The 16,909-nt window shown below is 46.9% G+C and overlaps 1 protein-coding gene across 2 annotated transcripts in view, besides 8 other annotated features; it reads left to right on the top strand.

Annotated features, from left to right (window-relative positions):
- Nucleotides 9,428-9,477: an enhancer, noted in NCBI's record as "active region_554". NCBI's record gives its function as "activates an Ori minimal core promoter by ATAC-STARR-seq in GM12878 lymphoblastoid cells {active_cell/tissue: GM12878}" and the evidence as "EXISTENCE:reporter gene assay evidence [ECO:0000049][PMID:35858748]".
- Nucleotides 10,681-11,225: an enhancer, noted in NCBI's record as "H3K27ac-H3K4me1 hESC enhancer chr1:27817465-27818009 (GRCh37/hg19 assembly coordinates)". NCBI's record gives its function as "activates a minimal SCP1, AML or CMV promoter by ChIP-STARR-seq in primed H9 embryonic stem cells {active_cell/tissue: H9 hESC(primed)}" and the evidence as "EXISTENCE:reporter gene assay evidence [ECO:0000049][PMID:30033119]".
- Nucleotides 11,226-11,770: an enhancer, noted in NCBI's record as "H3K27ac-H3K4me1 hESC enhancer chr1:27816920-27817464 (GRCh37/hg19 assembly coordinates)". NCBI's record gives its function as "activates a minimal SCP1, AML or CMV promoter by ChIP-STARR-seq in primed H9 embryonic stem cells {active_cell/tissue: H9 hESC(primed)}" and the evidence as "EXISTENCE:reporter gene assay evidence [ECO:0000049][PMID:30033119]".
- Nucleotides 11,226-11,778: a biological region, named in NCBI's record as "H3K27ac-H3K4me1 hESC enhancer GRCh37_chr1:27816920-27817464".
- Nucleotides 11,639-11,778: an enhancer, noted in NCBI's record as "active region_553". NCBI's record gives its function as "activates an Ori minimal core promoter by ATAC-STARR-seq in GM12878 lymphoblastoid cells {active_cell/tissue: GM12878}" and the evidence as "EXISTENCE:reporter gene assay evidence [ECO:0000049][PMID:35858748]".
- Nucleotides 11,869-12,048: a silencer, noted in NCBI's record as "silent region_518". NCBI's record gives its function as "represses an Ori minimal core promoter by ATAC-STARR-seq in GM12878 lymphoblastoid cells {active_cell/tissue: GM12878}" and the evidence as "EXISTENCE:reporter gene assay evidence [ECO:0000049][PMID:35858748]".
- WASF2 (WASP family member 2) overlaps nucleotides 12,012-16,909 on the top strand; it is an 85,938-nt gene continuing 81,040 nt past the window's right edge. For both annotated transcript variants that reach the window (NM_001201404.3, NM_006990.5), the window contains exon 1: nucleotides 12,012-12,193. The gene's annotated coding sequence lies outside the window, so the exon portion shown is untranslated. The remainder of the gene's footprint in view (nucleotides 12,194-16,909) is intronic.
- Nucleotides 12,309-12,368: a silencer, noted in NCBI's record as "silent region_517". NCBI's record gives its function as "represses an Ori minimal core promoter by ATAC-STARR-seq in GM12878 lymphoblastoid cells {active_cell/tissue: GM12878}" and the evidence as "EXISTENCE:reporter gene assay evidence [ECO:0000049][PMID:35858748]".
- Nucleotides 12,909-13,108: an enhancer, noted in NCBI's record as "active region_552". NCBI's record gives its function as "activates an Ori minimal core promoter by ATAC-STARR-seq in GM12878 lymphoblastoid cells {active_cell/tissue: GM12878}" and the evidence as "EXISTENCE:reporter gene assay evidence [ECO:0000049][PMID:35858748]".

The raw sequence follows: 16,909 nt of genomic DNA, 5'->3' as shown, positions 1-16,909 counted from the left end.
GGTTTCTCCATGTTGGTCAGGCTGGTCTCGAACTCCCAACCTCAGGAGATCCACATGCCTTGGCCTCCCAAAGTGCTGAGATTTGGGATTACAGGCATGAGCCACTGCACTCGGTCAATATTTTTCTACTTCTTTTTTTTTTTTTTTTTTGAGGTGGAGTTTGCTCTTGTTGCCCAGGCTAGAGTGCGATGGCGTGATCTCGGCTCACCACAACCTCTGCCACGTGGGTTCAAGCGATTCTCCTGCCTCAGCCTCCCGACTAGCTGGGATTACAGACATGTGCCACCATGCCCGGCTAATTTTGTACTTTTAGTAGAGAACGGGGTTTCTCCATGTTTGTCAGGCTGGTCTTGAACTCCTGACCTCAGGTGATCCACCCGCCTCGGCCTCCCAAAGTGCTCGGATTACAGGCTTAAGCCACCGCGCCCAGCCATATTTTTCTACTTCTATACCTGCAGTGCCTAGTATGGAACCTAACATAAAACTGACCCAAGACATGTTACTCTCCAGTCGTTTCTTTTTTTTTTTTATTTCTTCTAAAAAAAATGGGATACATGTGCAGAACGTGCAGGTTTGTTACATAGGCATTCGTGTGCCACGGTGGTTTGCTGCACCTACTGATCCATCCTCTAAGTTCCCTCCCCTCACCCTCCAAACCTCAAACAGGCCCTGGTGTGTGCTATTCCCCTCTCTGTGTCCATGTGTTCTCAATGTTCAACTCCCACTTATGAGTGAGAACATGCGGTGTTTGGTTTTCTGTTCTTGTGTTAATTTGCTGAGGATGATGGCTTCCAGCTTCATCCATGTCCCTGCAAAGGACATGATCTCATTCCTTTTTATGGCTGCATAGTATTCCATGGTGTATATGTACCACATTTTCTTTATCCAGTCTATCATTGATGGGCATTTGAGTTGGTTCCATGTCTTTGCTATTGTAAATAGTGCTGCAATAAACATACATGTGCATGTGTCTTTATAGTAGGATGATTTATTTTATTTTATTTTATTTTTTGAGACGGAGTCTTGCTCTGTCACCCAGGCTGAAGTGTAGTGGCACGATCTCGGCTCACTGCAAGCTCCACCTCCTGGGTTCACGCCATTCTCCTGCCTCAGCCTCCGGAATAGCTGGGACTACAGGCGCCCGCTACCATGCCCAGCCAATTTTTTGTATTTTTAGTAGAGACAGGGTTTCACTGCGTTAGCCAGGATGGTCTCGATCTCCTGACCTCGTGATCCGCCTACCTCGGCCTGCCACAGTGCTGGGATTACAGGCGTGAGCCACCGCGCCCGGCCAGTAGAATGATTTATATTCCTTTGGGTATATACCCAGTAATGGGATTGCTGGGTCAAATGGTATTGCTGGTTCTAGACCCTTGAGGAATTGCCACAATATCTTCCACAATGGTTGAACTAATTAACATTCTCACCAACAATGTAAAAGCGTTCCTATTTCACCACAGCCTCACCAGCATCTATTGTTTCCTGACTTTTTAATAACTGCCATTCTGGCCAGGCGCAGTGGCTCATGCTTGTAATCCCAACACTGTGGGAGGCCAAGATGGGTGGATCATGAGGTCAGGAGATCGAGACCATCCTGGCTAACACAGTGAAACCCAGTCTCTACTAAAAATACAAAAAAAAAAAAAAAAATTAGCCAGGTGTGGTGGCAGGCGCTTGTAGTCCCAGCTACTCGGGAGGCTGAGGCAGAAGAATGGCGTGAACCTGGGAGGCGGAGCTTGCAATGAGCCGAGATCGCACCACTGCACTCCAGCCTGAGTGACAGAGCGAGACTCTGTCAAAAAAAAAAAAAAAAAAAGTTAGCTGGGTGTGGTGGCACCCGCCTGTAGTCCCAGTTACTGGGGAGCCTGAGGCAGAAGAATCTCTTGAACCTGGGAGACGGAGGTTGCAGTGAGCTGAGATCACGCCACTGCACTCCAACCTGGTGACACAGCAAGACTCCGTCTCAAAAATAAATAAATAAATAAAAATAACTGCCATTCTGACTGGCGTGAGATGGTATCTCTTTGTGGTTTTGATTTGCATTTCTCTGATGGCCAGTGATGTTGAGCTTTTTTTCCTGCGTTTGTTGGCCATGTAAATATCTTCTTTTGAGAAGTGTTCATATCCTTAACTCACTTTTTGATGGGGTTGTTTTTTTCTTATAAATATGTTTAAGTTCCTTGTAGATTCCGGATATTAGACCTTTGTCAGATCAGTAGACTGAAAAAATTTTCTCCCATTCTGTAGGTTGCCTGTTCATTCTGATGATAGTTTCTTTTTTCTCTCTCTCTTTTTTTTTTTTTTTTTTTTTTTTTTAAGACGGAGTCTCCCTCTGTCTCCCAGCCTGGTGTGTGCAGTGGTGTGATCTCGGCTCACTGCAAGCTCCGCCTCCCGGGTTCACGCCATTCTCCTGCCTCAGCCTCCCGAGTAGTTGGGACTACAGGCACCCGCCACCACGCCCAGCTAATTTTTTTGTATTTTTAGTAGAGATGGGGTTTCACTGTGTTAGCCAGGATGGTCTCAATCTCCTGACCTCGTGATCTGCCCGTCTCAGCCTCCCAAAGTGCTGAGATTACAGGCGTGAGCCGCTGTGCCCGGCCGATAATAGTTTCTTCTGCTGTGCAGAAGCTCTTTAGTTTAATTAGATCCCACTTGTCAATTTTGGCTTTTGTTGCAATTGCTTTTGGTGTTTTTGCCCATGCCTATGTCCTGAATGGTGTTGCCTAGGTTTTCTTCTAGGGTTTTTATTCCTCAGGCTTTTTTTATTCAGTCCACTTTGCAGGGTAGATCATATTCTGTTCCTACTTCCTAATTCTGCCTGAGGAACTCCTACTCACCCTTCAAAACCCCTTCCAAATGGCCCTTCCTCTGTAAGCCTGTCCCAATCTCCCAGTTAAGTTCTCTACTTCTATAAGCTCATAGCTCCTACTGCAATCAGTGTCTTCCGCTTTTATTGTAATTTTTATGTATATCTTCTCCCTCATCAGATTGGGAGCCACTCAAGGGCAGAGTCTGAGTGGACTGATCCCTCCGTCCCCAGTGCCCTGCACAAGCCTGGCCAGGGCAGGCAGCAATGTATCCTTATTAAATGAATAGACTGGAAGATGTCATGAAGGGGGTAAAACTGAGGCAGGATTTTGGGCTGGGTGCCGTGGCTCATACCTGTAATCCCAGCACTTTGGGAGGCCAAGGTGGGCAGATTGCTTGTGCTCAGGAGTTCAATACAAGCCTGGGAGGCTGGGCCGGGTGGCTCATGCTTGTAATCCTAGCACTTTGGGAGGCCAAGGCAGGAGGATTGCTTGAGGCCAAAAGTTAAAGACCAACCTGGCCAACATAGCAAGACCCCCAGCCCCACCCCCATCTCTATTTAAAAAAAGAAGAAGAAGAAGACCAGCCTGGGCAACATGGCAAAACCCCGTCTCTACAAAAAATAAATAAATAAATAAAAATTTGCCGAGCATGGTGGCACGCACCTGTAGTCCCAGCTACTTGGAGGCTGAGGTGGGAAAATCACTTGAGTCCAGGAGGTAGAGGCTGCAGTGAGCTGAGATAGCACCACTGCACTCCAGTCTGGCGACAGAGTGAGACCTTGTCTCAAAAAAATAAAAAACAAAAATAAATAAATAATTCAGGCCGGGTGCGGTGGCTCACACCTGTAATCCCAGCACTTTGGGAGGCTGAGGTGGGAGGATCACCTGAGGTCGGGAGTTTAAGACCAGCCTGACCAACATGGAGAAACACTGTCTCTACTAAAAATTTAAAATTAGCCAGGCGTGGTGGCACATGCCTGTAATCCCAGCTACTCGGGAGCCTGAGGCAGGAGAATTGCTTGAACCCTGGAGGCGGAGGTTGTGGTGAGCTGAGATGGCGCCATTGCACTCCAGCCTGGGCAACAAGAGTGAAACTCTGTCTCAAAAAAAAAAAAAAAAAAAAAAAAATTCAAGCAGGATTTTGAAGGTAGGAGGAAAGAGAATAACAGGTACTTACTGAGGGCATAGTACCAATAAAAACAGGCTGGGCACGGTGGCTCACGCCTGTAATCCCAGCACTTTGGGAGGCCGAGGTGGGCAGATCACGAGGTCGGGAGTTCGAGACGAGCTTGGCCAACATGGTGAAACCCCATCTTCAAAAAATACAAAAATTAGCTGGGCATGGTGGTGGGTGTCTGCAATCTTAGCTACTCAGGAGGCTGAGACGTGAGAATCACTTAAACCCAGGAGGCGGAGATTGCAGTGAGCTGAGATCATGCCACTGCACTCCAGCCTGGGTGACAGAGCGAGACTCCATCTCAAAAAAAAAAAAAAAGAAAAATCATAATCATCAGCAGCAGCATCATCATCATGGGAACTATCACTAAATGTGCCATAGTGTGATGAGTAAGAGCACAGATTAAGCTCTACCCCTTACTGGCTGTGTGAGCATGTGCAAGTTATAGAAATCTCCTTGTGCCTCAGTTTCCTCATCTGCAAACTGGGGTTAGTAATAATATCTACCGTATCAGGAGTTAAATAGGTAAATATATGCAAGGTGCTGAGAACTATGCCAGGTACACATGGGCACTGTGTATTTCCTATCACTGTTATTGCTGAACACTTTGGTCCTGCCAGGCAGTTTTATCTGCCATCTCACTTGGTCCTCACAGCAGCCTGAGAGACAGGGATTATTGTCCCCTTTTACAAAGAAATGAGGCGTAAACAGGCCAGGCAGCTTGCTAAGGTCACTTGCTGGGTAAGTGGCAGGAATGGGATTTGAACCTAGGTCTCTCTGCCCCTCCCACCCACCCCATTTCCCTGACTGTGGAACCTGCCTGAAGGAGGAGGAGGAGGAGGAGGAGGAGGAGGAGGAGGAAGAGGAGGAGATGGCATAGTGGGAAGGCAGGGAGGCTTCACCGAGCTGGGGCCTTGGAAGCAGAGCAGCAGGCATTTTTTCCAGAGCTTTCATTTCCGTCTGCTTCTTCTAAGCAGGTGAAAAACCCCACAGAGGACCCTTCCCTGAGTACCCCCGCCCCCACCCTATTTCCTCCCCCACCCAGCACTGCCTCTGTCCCCCACACTGGGAGCGGGGAGGTCAGGCATGCAGCGTGGGGGATGCAGGGGAGGGGAGTGAGGAGGTGGGGGAGCATCATTCCAGATCCTTCCCCTCAGCAACCCTCTCTTCCCCATCAAAGGCGCTCAGGGAGGAGAGAGCATTCCAGGTGGAAGGAATGGCAAATGCAAAGGCTGCAGATTAAGGATGTGGAGGTGGGGAAAGCCTGCGAGCTTGGCTGGAACCGAGGTTCGTGGCCCCCTGGGATTGCTCAGTGAAGAACTTGCTTGACGAGAGAAAGAGAGAGAGAGAGAGAGACTGTGGACCTAGCAAGAGCTGAGGATGCCAGAGGGAGGGGGGTGACCTGGAGATCATTCTGGGCTCTGAGTACAGTGCTCTCCACCCTTCTCCCCTCAGATGGGGGTCAGGGAGAGGGGAGGGGTGATTCTTCCTGGTCCCTATGCTTTGTTGCTCCCCCTGGAATTCCTTAGCTGACTGCACTCTGTCAGTTCCGTACCCAGTGCTGGCTCATAGCTTTTTAACACATTCTCTCATTGCATTTGTATTTTCTCTTCAGCTCCATGAGACTAGTTTTATTCACTCCATTTTATAGGTTAGAAAACTGAGGCTCAGCTAGGTTGTTTTTTTGTTTTTTTGTTTTTTTTTGTGGGGGCGGGGCGGGGAACGGAGTTTCACTCTGTTTGGCTGGAGTGCAGTGGCGCGATCTCGGCTCACTGCAACCTCTGCCTCCCGGGTTCAAGCAATTCTCTTGCCTCAGCCTCCTGAGTAGCTGGGATTACAGGCGCCCACCACCATGCCCAGCTAGTTTTTGTATTTTTATTTTTATTTAAGAAAAAATGTTTTTTGAGCCGGAGTCTCGCTCCGTCGCCCAGGCTGGAGTGCAGTGGCATGATCTCCGCTCACTGCAACCTTCGCCTCCCAGGTTCAAGCGATTCTCCTGCCTCAGCCTCCCGAGTAGCTGGGACTACAGGCGCGTGCCACCACGTCTGGCTAATTTTTTTGTATTTTTAGTAGAGACGGGGTTTCACCATATTGGCCAGGATGGTCTTGATCTCTTGACCTCGTGATCCGCCTGCAGCTGAGATTACAGGTGCCTGCCACCACGCCCAGCTAATTTTTGCATTTTTAGTAGAGACAAGGTTTCACCATGTTTGTCAGGCTGGTCTCGAACTCCTGACCTCAGGCAATCCGCCCGCCTCGGCCTCCCAAAGTGCTGGGATTACAGGCATGAGCCACTGTGCCTAGCCCTGTTTTTTACATTTTTATCTATTTATTTATTTATTTTGAGCCTAGGTTAGGAAACTGGCTAATTCTTGTATTTTTGATAGAGATGGGGTTTTGTCATGTCACCCAAGCTGGTCTTGAACCCCAGGCTCAAGCGATCCCCCTGCCTTGGCATCCCAAATTGTTGGGAATACAGGTGTGAGCTACCATGCCTGGCCCTTTCCCCTCATTTGTAAAATGAGGATGATAATAACAGGACCTAATTTATAGGACTGAGGCTGGGCGCAGTGGCTCACGCCTGCAATTCCAGTACTTTGGGAGGCCGAGGCGGACAGATCACTGGAGGTCTGGAGTTCACGACCAACCTGGCCAACATGGTGAAACCTCGTCTCTACAAAAAATACAAAAATTAGCCAGGCGTGGTGGTGCAAGCTTGTAATCCCAGCTACTTGGGAGGCTGAGGCAGGAGAATTGCTTGAACTGGGGAGGCAGAAGTTGCAGTGAGCCAAGATCATGCCACTGCACTGCAGCCTGGACGACAGAGCAAAACTGTGTCTCAATAAATAAATAAATAATTTATAGGACTGATATAAGGATTGACGAGTTAATGCATGTAAAGCAATTTGCACATTCCTGGCATGTAGCAAATGCTCACTAAATGTTGGTCCTTATTAATATTACCACTAAATGCACAATACCACCTCCCACTCTGAAAGCAACTTCTTTATCTGCATTGCCTAAAAGGAAAAATTAAGGCTCCTATTTTGGGACAACCTTCAAGCAATCACTGTGCTAAGTGTTTCATATTTATGATCACATTTAATTTGAACATATCTGGAAAATAAAAACAATTATGGCCAGGCCTGGTGGCTCACGCCTGTAATTCCAGCACTTTGGGAGGCTGAGGTGCTGAGTCCAGGAGTCCTAGACCAGCCTGGGCAACACAGCAAGACCCCATTTCTATTTTTTTTTTGAGACAAAGTCTCACTCTGTTGCCCAGGCTGGAGTGTAGTGCTGCGATCTCGGCTCACTGCAACCTCTGCCTCCTGGGTCTACGCCATTCTCCTGCCTCAGCCTCCTGAGTAGCTGGGACTACAGGTGCCGGCCACCATGCGCGGCTAATTTTTTGTATTTTTAGTAGAGACGGGGTTTCACCGTGTTAGCCAGGATGATCTCGATCTCCTGACCTCGTGATCTGCCCGCCTCGGCCTCCCAAAGTGCTGGGATTACAGGTGTGAGCCACTGCGCCTGGCCGACCCCATCTCTATTTTCTAAAATTATTAAATAAAAACAATTATGATTTTCATTTTATCGATAAGGAAATTGAGGCTCAGAGAGGTGAAGTCACCTGCCCAAAGTCACACAGCTAGGAAGTGGTATAATAGTGATTCAAATCCAGGTTTGTCTGGCTCCAAAGTCTCGTATGACAATTCAGGCCGGGCACAGTGGCTCATGCCTGTAATCCTAGTACTTTGGGAGACTGAGGTGGGAGGATCGTTTGAGCCCAGGAGTTTGAGACCAAGCTGGGCAACATAGGGAGACTTCATCTCTAAAAAACAAAACAAAAAAAATCAGCCGGGCATAGTGGCATGCACCTGTAGTCCCAGCTATTTGGGGGGCTGAGGTGGAAGGACTGCTTGAGCCCAGGAGTTCAAGGCTGCAATGAGCCATGATTGCACCACTGCAAGCCAGCCTGGGTGACAGATTAAAATCCTGTCCAAAAAAAAAAAAAAAAAATTAAGTTCAGATGACAACTTGTCCAGTTCATGGATGTCTGTATCAGCTTGAACCCAAACCATCTGCTCCAACTGCTGCCTCAGGCTCACTTCCCTCCATGCTGGGAAGACCAAGCATTGTTTACCGAGCGACTTTTATATGCCAGACAATTTACATATATTTCCCATTAAATCCTCACCCCCACCTTATGACCCTCTATTGTTATCCCCATTCCTTAGAAGAGTAGCTGAGACACAGTGAGGTTTGATGACTGTTCAGGTCACACAATCCTCGGTGAGTTGGCAGAGCTAAGATTCAAACCCAGGTCGGTCTGCCTCAAAGCTTGCATTCTTTCAGGGACTACGAGAAAAGTACAGAGACCCTTGGTGAACAGCACTACTTTCTTATCTATTTATTTATTTATTACGTTTTTAAATAAATGAGATGGGGATCTTACTTTGTTGCCCAGGCTGGTCTCAAACTCCTGGCCTCAAGTGATCCTCCCACCTTGGCCTCCCAAAGTGCTGGGATTACAGGCCAGCCCCCACTTTCAAAGCTGGGTTTCCTCCCCTGTAACATCCTCAGTCATTCATCAACAACCATGATACTTTTCCTGGTGGCCCACAGGCCCTGAGTGCTCCACCCTTCCTCCCCACTGCCACCACCCCCATGGGCTTCCATGCCTTTCCACACCCTTTCCCTTGGCCTGCAACACTTCTCCCAACCTCTTGCTCATTCAAGAATGGATGAACCCCAGGCCAGGTGTGGTGGCTCATGCCTGTAATCCCAGCACTTTGGGAGGCCAAGGCAGGTGGATCACTTGAGATCAGGAGTTTGAGACCAGCCTGGGCAACATGGCGAAACCCCATCTCTACTCAACATACAAAAATTAGCTGGGTGTGGTGGCACACACCTGTAATCCCAGCTACTCAGGAGGCTGAGGCACAAGAATCGCTTGAACCTGGGAAGCGGAGGTTGCAGTGAGCCGAGATTGTCACTGCACTCCAGCGTGGGTTGCAGCCTGGGTGACAGAGCGAGACTGTCTCCAAAAAAAAAAAAAAAAAAAGAGTAAATGAACCCCCATTCATCAACTCACCTCAGACATCATCTCTTCAGGAAAGTCTCCTTTGACCCCACCCCATCCCCTGACATTCACTCTCATAAACACATTGCACTTTACCTTCTGCTTCCTTATCTCAGTTTCTGTTTTTGATTTGTCTGATCACTTGGTTAACAACTTTCTTCCTTCCCAGACTTTAAGTTCCATGAGGGTCTGAGTCTGTTTTGCTTGCTATTGTAGCTACGCCACTGTCAGGCTGCCCTCTATGTGGTGGGTGCTTAATAATTTTTTATTGAATGGATGAATCCATGAATGAATAAATAGCTACCAGGCACTTTATACACATGACTCATTAACGCTACAATTAACTAATTGAATCCTCACAACTGCCCTTTTGTCATCATTTCAGAGAAGAGGTAGGTGAGGCTCAGAGAGCTAGAAAGTGGTGGTGCTAGGACTCGATCTCAGGTCTGCTTAACCCCAAAGCCACTGCTTTCTGCACAGCTGCCTCCCAGCACCCAACAGCCACAGCCAGGATTTAAATAGTCCTTGGTTGTCAGACCACATGTCCCAGTTTGAGCCCGGAGGACACCAATTCGGATGGCACCAGGGCCCTGCTGGCACCACCCCCTTGGCTGTCTCTGCCCTTCTGAAGTCTTAGGCTGCTTCCCCTCCCACTCCCTTCTTGGCCTCCTTCCTTTCCAGGGAGGGAAAAGGACTAGGAATTACAGCCAAGCAGCTCTTCTGGGAAAAACAATCCTGTGGTGAAAAGAGCCCTGTTCTGAGAGCAGAGAAACCTGGATTTAAGTCCTGGCATGGAGGCGGCCCTGCTGAGGGCTCACAGTGGCATCACGGCCCCCCTCTGAGCCTCTGCGTCCTCGTTTGAGATTCTGTGTAGGTTCTCAACCCATCTGTCACCCCCTTTTCACGTCCTGACTCCTAGGACCCCAGAAACAGCCTGGGCACACCCCTAGTGTCACTTTTCCTCAGGAACCCTGGTGGTTAACAATAGCTGGGGGGTGGTCTGTGCCCAAGTCTACATTGATCAGAGAGATGAGGGACTGACCTGGCACCCTTAAGACCTTTCCTGGAATGCTAAGGGGATGGGTGAGGGAAGAGTGGAGGGGAGGGGAGGGAAGTCATTCTCATATGATACCAGGCCTGAAAGGGAGAAATACAGGAATGGAAACCAAAAGAAACAGGTTTGAGTTCCGGGGCTGTTTCAAAGTCCCTGAAGGACCCTGGGTAAGTCATGCAACTTCAGAAAGACTCAGTTTTCTCTTCTGCAAAAATGAGGGTAATACCTGCCATACAGGGTTGCCCTAGAGAATTAAGTGAGGTATCTTTGCTAACATGTTAATTTGTCACATTTCTATCTAGCTGTGGCATTTTTTTTTTTCTTTTTGAGACTCGCTCTGTCTCCCAGGCTGGAGTGCAGTGGCATGATCTTGGCTCACTGCAACATCCACCAACCAGGTTCAAGCGATTCTCCTGCCTCCCAAGTAGCTGGGATTACAGGCGCGCACCACCACGCCCAGCTAATTTTTGTGTTTTTAATAGAGGCGGGGTTTCTTTTTTCTTTTTTGGAGACAGAGTTTTGCCCTTGTTGCCCAGGCTAGAGTGCAATGGCGCGATCTCGGCTCACCGCAACCTCTGCCTCCGAGGTTGAAGCGATTCTCTTGCTTCAGCCTCTGGAGTAGCTGGGATTACAGGCATGTGCCACCATGCCCGGCTAATTTTTTGTATTTTTAGTAGAGATGGGGTTTCACCATGTTGGCCAGGCTGGTTTCAAACACCTGACCTCAGGTGATCCGCCTAGAAGCGGGGTTTCACTTGGCCAGACTGGTCTTCAACTCCTGACCTCAAGTAATCCGCCCGCCTCGCCTTGGCCTCCCAAAGTGTTGGGATTACAGGCGTGAGCCACCGCGCCTGGGCGTTTTTTTTGTTTTTTTTTTTTTTTTGAGGTGGGGTTTCGTTCTTGTTGCCCAAGCTGGAGTGCAATGGCGTGACCTCGGCTCACTGCAACCTCCGCCTCCCGGGTTCAAGCGATTGTCCGCCTCAGCCTCCTGAGTAGCTGGGATTACAGGCATGCGCCACCACGGCTGGCTAATTTTGTATTTTTAGTAGAGATGGGGGTTTCTCCAAGTTGGTCAGGCTGGTCTCGAACTCCTGACCTCAGGTGATCCGCCCGCCTCAACCTCCCAAAGTGCTGGGATTACAGGCATGAGCCACCGCGCCCGGACAGCTGCAGCCTTTTATAATCAACAAGACGAGCATATTCCCCACTCATGCATGAGTCCTCAACAACCACTCCCGCATGTGAGGCACAGACGACTGCTCCTATTTTGCAGAAGGACAAACTGAGACCCAGATAAATTCTGGAAGTTGTCTGAGGTCGCAGAGTGAAGTGGCTGAACCAGGGTTCCGCTCACTTGACCATGGCTTTTCAGTACTATCCCCCATTCCCAGGACCCGGGCCTTGCCCCGGATGGACTGTGCAGGACGGGATAGAGCTTGTGACTCACTCTCCCCACCCTACTTTCTGCCCTGGCTGAGACCGGAGTGAAGGGACAACACTATGCGCAACTTGAGGGGTGTCCACAGAAAGTTTACGGGCTTGGCCCCTTCCTTTCACTAAATCTAGCGGTTCTTTCAAGGCTAACAAGAAGAATTCTTCTTTCAACACACTTTGTACGAGTTTTTACACTTTCTTAGGTGAGCTTTCCCTACTTTGAACTTAGGAGTCGGTTTACCTTAATCTCCGCCCCCCACTTCACTTGGTTTGCACCCCGCTGTTTACTCCGATTGCGGAAGTCGCCCGGGTGGAGCTCTGGGGAGGGTACCCGTGAGTACGTCTTTTGCGTAGTTATTTAACTGGCGTTTTACTCAGGCCAATGGAATGCCCCGAAGCCCCGGGTGGGTGGGGCAGTGAGCCAATCAGGGCCATTGGCGGGGTGTGGCTGCCGCCCAGGGCGGGGAATCGCGTAATGGCGGACACAGGCAGGGCGAGCGCGGCTGGGGGCGTAGCGCGCTGAGGGGGTCCGGCCGTTTGGCAGCCCGCGAGGCGGTCCGCGGGAGCACACTCTGTGCGGAGACTGGGCGGCCGGCCGACCCTTCCTGTCGCTGACGGCGACTGCGGGAGGCCAGGTGAGCAACAAGTCCCCTTGGGTAGACCCCGCTGGGAGGCGCGGGCCCCGGCCGGGCCGCTCTTCCCGAGCCGTGCAGGGTCTCGGGGGACTGGGTGCCGGGACTCCTACTGCGGACTGGCAGAGGCCGGGCGAGCGGTCAGCGCGGGGTGGCGTCTTAGTCCACCCCACCCCCTCAGGGAGGGAGGGAGTGACCCGAAGTCCCCTTCGGAAACTTGGAGGGGTCCACAAGTCTGAGGGACTATGAGTGTCCCGGCCTGACCTGGTTCTGCCATCAGCTCGCTGTGTGATCTTGAGCAAGTCACTTTCCTCTCTAGGCCTTAGTTTACCCCCTGTGTAAAACGAGGGTTTCGTCGGCAGATGTATGTACAGGAGTTGGGTCCCAGCTGTTGTCTGAGATCTTGGACAAGTTCTTCCCCAGGCTGAGCCTCAGTTTCCATCTCTGGACCATGAAGTAATTGAGGTGCTCGTTGAGGCCCCGGCCTGCTAAATTGAGGAGGACACTGTGTGTGTGTGTGTGTGTGTGTGTGTGTACGTACCATGAAGTAATTGAGGTGCTCGTTGAGGCCCCGGCCTGCTAAATTGAGGAGGACACTGTGTGTGTGTGTGTGTGTGTGTGTGTGTGTGTGTGTGTGTGTACCATGAAGTAATTGAGGTGCTCGTTGAGGCCCCGGCCTGCTAAATTGAGGAGGACACTGTGTGTGTGTGTGTGTGTGTGTGTGTGTGTGTGTGTGCGCGCGTACAGGATAGTCTGCAGAGTAAGGAGGAGAGTTGTCTAAAGGGGCTGTTCCAAGGAGGACGTGGGTGCTACCCAGACCATGATGGGGTGAGCTGGGGTCCTCTTGGTTCTCCAGGAATCCTAGAGCCTCTGAGAGGGAAAGTTTTAATATGGTTGTCCATAGAACCGGAGAAGAGGAAGGACTCCTTGGAGCCCCTTGGGGCTCTGATTGGAATTTAGGTCCAGAATTCAGGAGGGTTAGAAGGAAGAGGAAGAACTTTTATGGCAGCCCTACTAGGTGTCAACCCTTGCTTAGGCATATGTTCTTATTTTTTTACAGTGACTCTTGAGAATTTACACATAAGGAAACTGAGTTTCAGAGGAGTTAAGTAATTTGCCCAAGGTCGCACAGTAAAGGGCAGAGGTTACTTAACTAAATTGTTTCCTCTGAGAATCACTGGGCAAGGGGGAAGTCACTGCCCACTCAAAAGATAGTGTTAGGGAAGTTTGCCTTGTTACAAATGGGGGCAGAGGTCTGGCCTCAGATATGTGATTTGACTTCTGGCATGGGGACAGTCTTGATCTCTGGAAGGTTAATTATAAGTCCAGCCCCTTTATTCAGTCTGTAAGTTGGAAAGAACTATTTGTAAGTCGTAAAAGTCCCTTTGAAGTGTGTGTCAGGACCTCAGAGAGCTCCATTTGAATCCTGGTAGGGTTGCCTGTAGAAAAAGTTCAGCAGCTATTGGTGTATATAGACTAGACTTTGGTTCAGAGTGGTGCCAGCCCATTCGCTTCTTCTCCTCCATCAGAGGGCCACATTTTCTTGGGATGGGAGAAATTTCCCATTTGTTCAAATTTCTTTGGATTTCTTGGGTGAAAGGTTCAATAGCCCACCTCTGATTAAGCTTAATATCCCTTTCTTTGTGCAACCTGTTTTTTGACTTCTAATGAGTGAAGATTGTGGATTTGGGGTAGGCGGTAGTTGGGTGCAATAACTTGCTGCCCTTAATTTTTCCAAACCTCAGAGCTTTTGGTTAATCAGAATAGTAGGGACGGCTATGGGTATTGTTCTCATATGTCAGTAGTGGAGAAGAAAATTGGAAGAGGAAGTTACTGAGAAAGAGGGCGTTTCTTAGCAGTGGAGCCAGTATGTATTTCTTTGTTTGAAATTCTAAAACCAGAAAAGCAGCAACTACAGGAGGAAGGAAGGAAAGAACTGTGAAACTTTTTCCTGTTCAGATATCTTTAAGAGCTGTTCCTGTCTCTATCCATGTCCCAGGCTCTACTTTCATAGAAAAAGTCAATTGTAATTTGTTCAGTTTTCTTCTAGAATGAAATAATTTTAAATCTTAAACCCTCTGAGAATAGTTGTTTAAAAATCAGAGCATTTTATTGAGTAAATTATTTACAATGGATTATTCTTTTTCTCAGCATATTACTAATTTGGTCTTATATATAAAATATATGTATAACATAATAAGAATATAAAATAAATATATAATATATAATATACATTATATAATATGATATACATTATATAATATAATGATATACATTATATATTGTATAAAATATATATTATATATTATATAAAATATATATAATATATATTATATAATATATAATATATATTATATATTGTATAAAATATATATAATATATATTATATATTATATAAAATATATATAATATATATTATATATTGTATAAAATATATATAATATATATTATATATTGTATAAAATATATATAATATAACATATATTATAATATTATATAATATATATTTATATAAAATATATTTATATAAATATATATTTATATTTGTATATATATTAAATATATATATTTATATAAAATATATATTATAGGCCGGGCATGGTGACTCACGCCTGTAATCCCAGCACTCTGGGAGGCCGAGGCGGGTGGATCACGAGGTCGGGAGATCGAGACCATCCTGGCTAACACGGTGAAACTACGTCTCTATTAAAAATACAAAAAGTAGCCGGGCGTGGTGGCGGGTGCCTGTAGTCCCGGCTACTCGGGAAGCTGAGGCAGGAGAATGGTGTGAACCCGGGAGGCGGAGTTTGCAGTGAACCGAGATCGCACCACTGCACTCCAGCATGGGCGACAGAGCGAGACTCCGTCTCAAAAAAAAATCTCTCTATATAGATTATATTATATATATAATCTATATTTTATATATATGTTATATATAATATATGTAACAGATTATATATAAAATTTATATATAATATATAAATGTAGATTATATGTAAATATATAGATTATATATAATATATATCATCTATAATGTATGAGTTATATATGTAAAATATAATCTATATATTATATATATATCAGTCACCCAGGCTGGAGGGCAGTGGCGTGATCTCGGCTTACTGCAACCTCCGCCTCCCAGGTTCGGGCGATTCTCCTGCCTCAGCCTCCCAAGTATCTGGGACTACAGGCATGCACCGCCACGCCTGGCTAATTTTTGTATTTTTAGTAGAGATAGGGTTTTGCCATGTTGGCCAGGCTGGTCTCAAACTCCTGACCTCGGTTGATCCACCTGCTGCGGCCTCCGGAAGTGCTGGGATTACAGGCGTGAGCCACCACGCCCAGCTGAGTCTTTAGCTATATTTTAACTGTGATTTCAACCTAAGGAATTGATCTAGATATTAGAGGATGCAAATATCACCGTCACTTGAAAAACACATAATAATGTGTTTGGCTTTTGACATGTTAAGTCTTTTTATGCGTTATTTTCCAGGATTGTGTGTATGTGATAGTTGTGAAGACACTGAATTTATTGCACGTGAAGCTCTATTAATACATTCATTCCCAATATGTTATATTTTCTGTAAAATAATTAGTCTTAATTAGTATACCGGTCCACAGTACCTTATTCAAAATCCTTGGCACCAAAAAAAAAGTTCTTGGGACCAAATGTATATCTGAATTTAAAAATTTTTGGATTTTGGGGTTTTAGAAAAGAAATATGGTACTATGTGTTATGTAATACCCCAGAGAGGTCAGGGCAGCACTTTTTAAATCAGATGTATTTTATTATTTCTGTAGTAAAATGTCTGGATGTTCATACTAACTGGGATAAATACTGTACTGTCATTAGCCTTATGTCATTTCTTGTCAGGTTTTGCCTCCAAATGAATAATGAAAAATTTATTTTTCACAGCCTTTGCATTTTGCAGATAAAGTGAAGGGACTGTAGATCTCTATAGGTAAAACTTACGTGATAGGCCAGGTGCGGTGGCTCAAGCCTGTAATCCCAGCACTCTGGGAGGCCGAGGCGGGCAGATCACAAGGTCAGGAGTTCGAGACCAGCCTGACCAACATGGTGAAACCCCGTCTCTACTAAAAATACAAAAATTAGCCGGGTGTGGTGGTGCACGCCTGTAATCCCAGCTACTCAGGAGGCTGAAGCAGGAGAATCGCTTGAATCCGGGAGGCGGAGGTTGCAGTGAGCTGAGATCACGCCACTGCACTCCAGCCTGGGAGACAGAGCAAGACTCTGTCTCAAACAAACAAACAAAATTACATGATAACAAGAGCAATTACAAGGAAAAATATTGTATAGTCCAGTTAATTTCAAAGTCATGTGTCCTAAAAACAATATTACATAGAAGACAGACACCTTTTGTTGTTTCTGTCATACAGAAATCTTACTGTGATTAAAATGTGCCTGATAAGCATTTTTCCTTAAGTACCACAATTTATGCTTTAATATCTTCACTAGTCTCTGAAATTTTAGAATGACACCCTCCACCTCTTTTGTTTTTAATTTTAAAAATTTTATTTCTTTTATTTTCTTTTTTTCTTTTTTTAAACAGTAGAGATGGGCTCTCGAAATGTTGCCAGGCTGGTCTCAAACTTCTGCCTTCAAGTGATCTTCCCGCCTTGGCCTCCCCAAAGTGTTGAGATTACAGGTGTGAGACTTCATGCCCTGCCCCCACCTCTTCTTTAAATAGTAATTTGTAG

Source organism: Homo sapiens, chromosome 1, assembly GCF_000001405.40.
Source record: "Homo sapiens chromosome 1, GRCh38.p14 Primary Assembly".
Lineage (NCBI taxonomy): Eukaryota > Metazoa > Chordata > Mammalia > Primates > Hominidae > Homo > Homo sapiens.
This window is presented reverse-complemented; position numbering and strand designations above follow the sequence as displayed.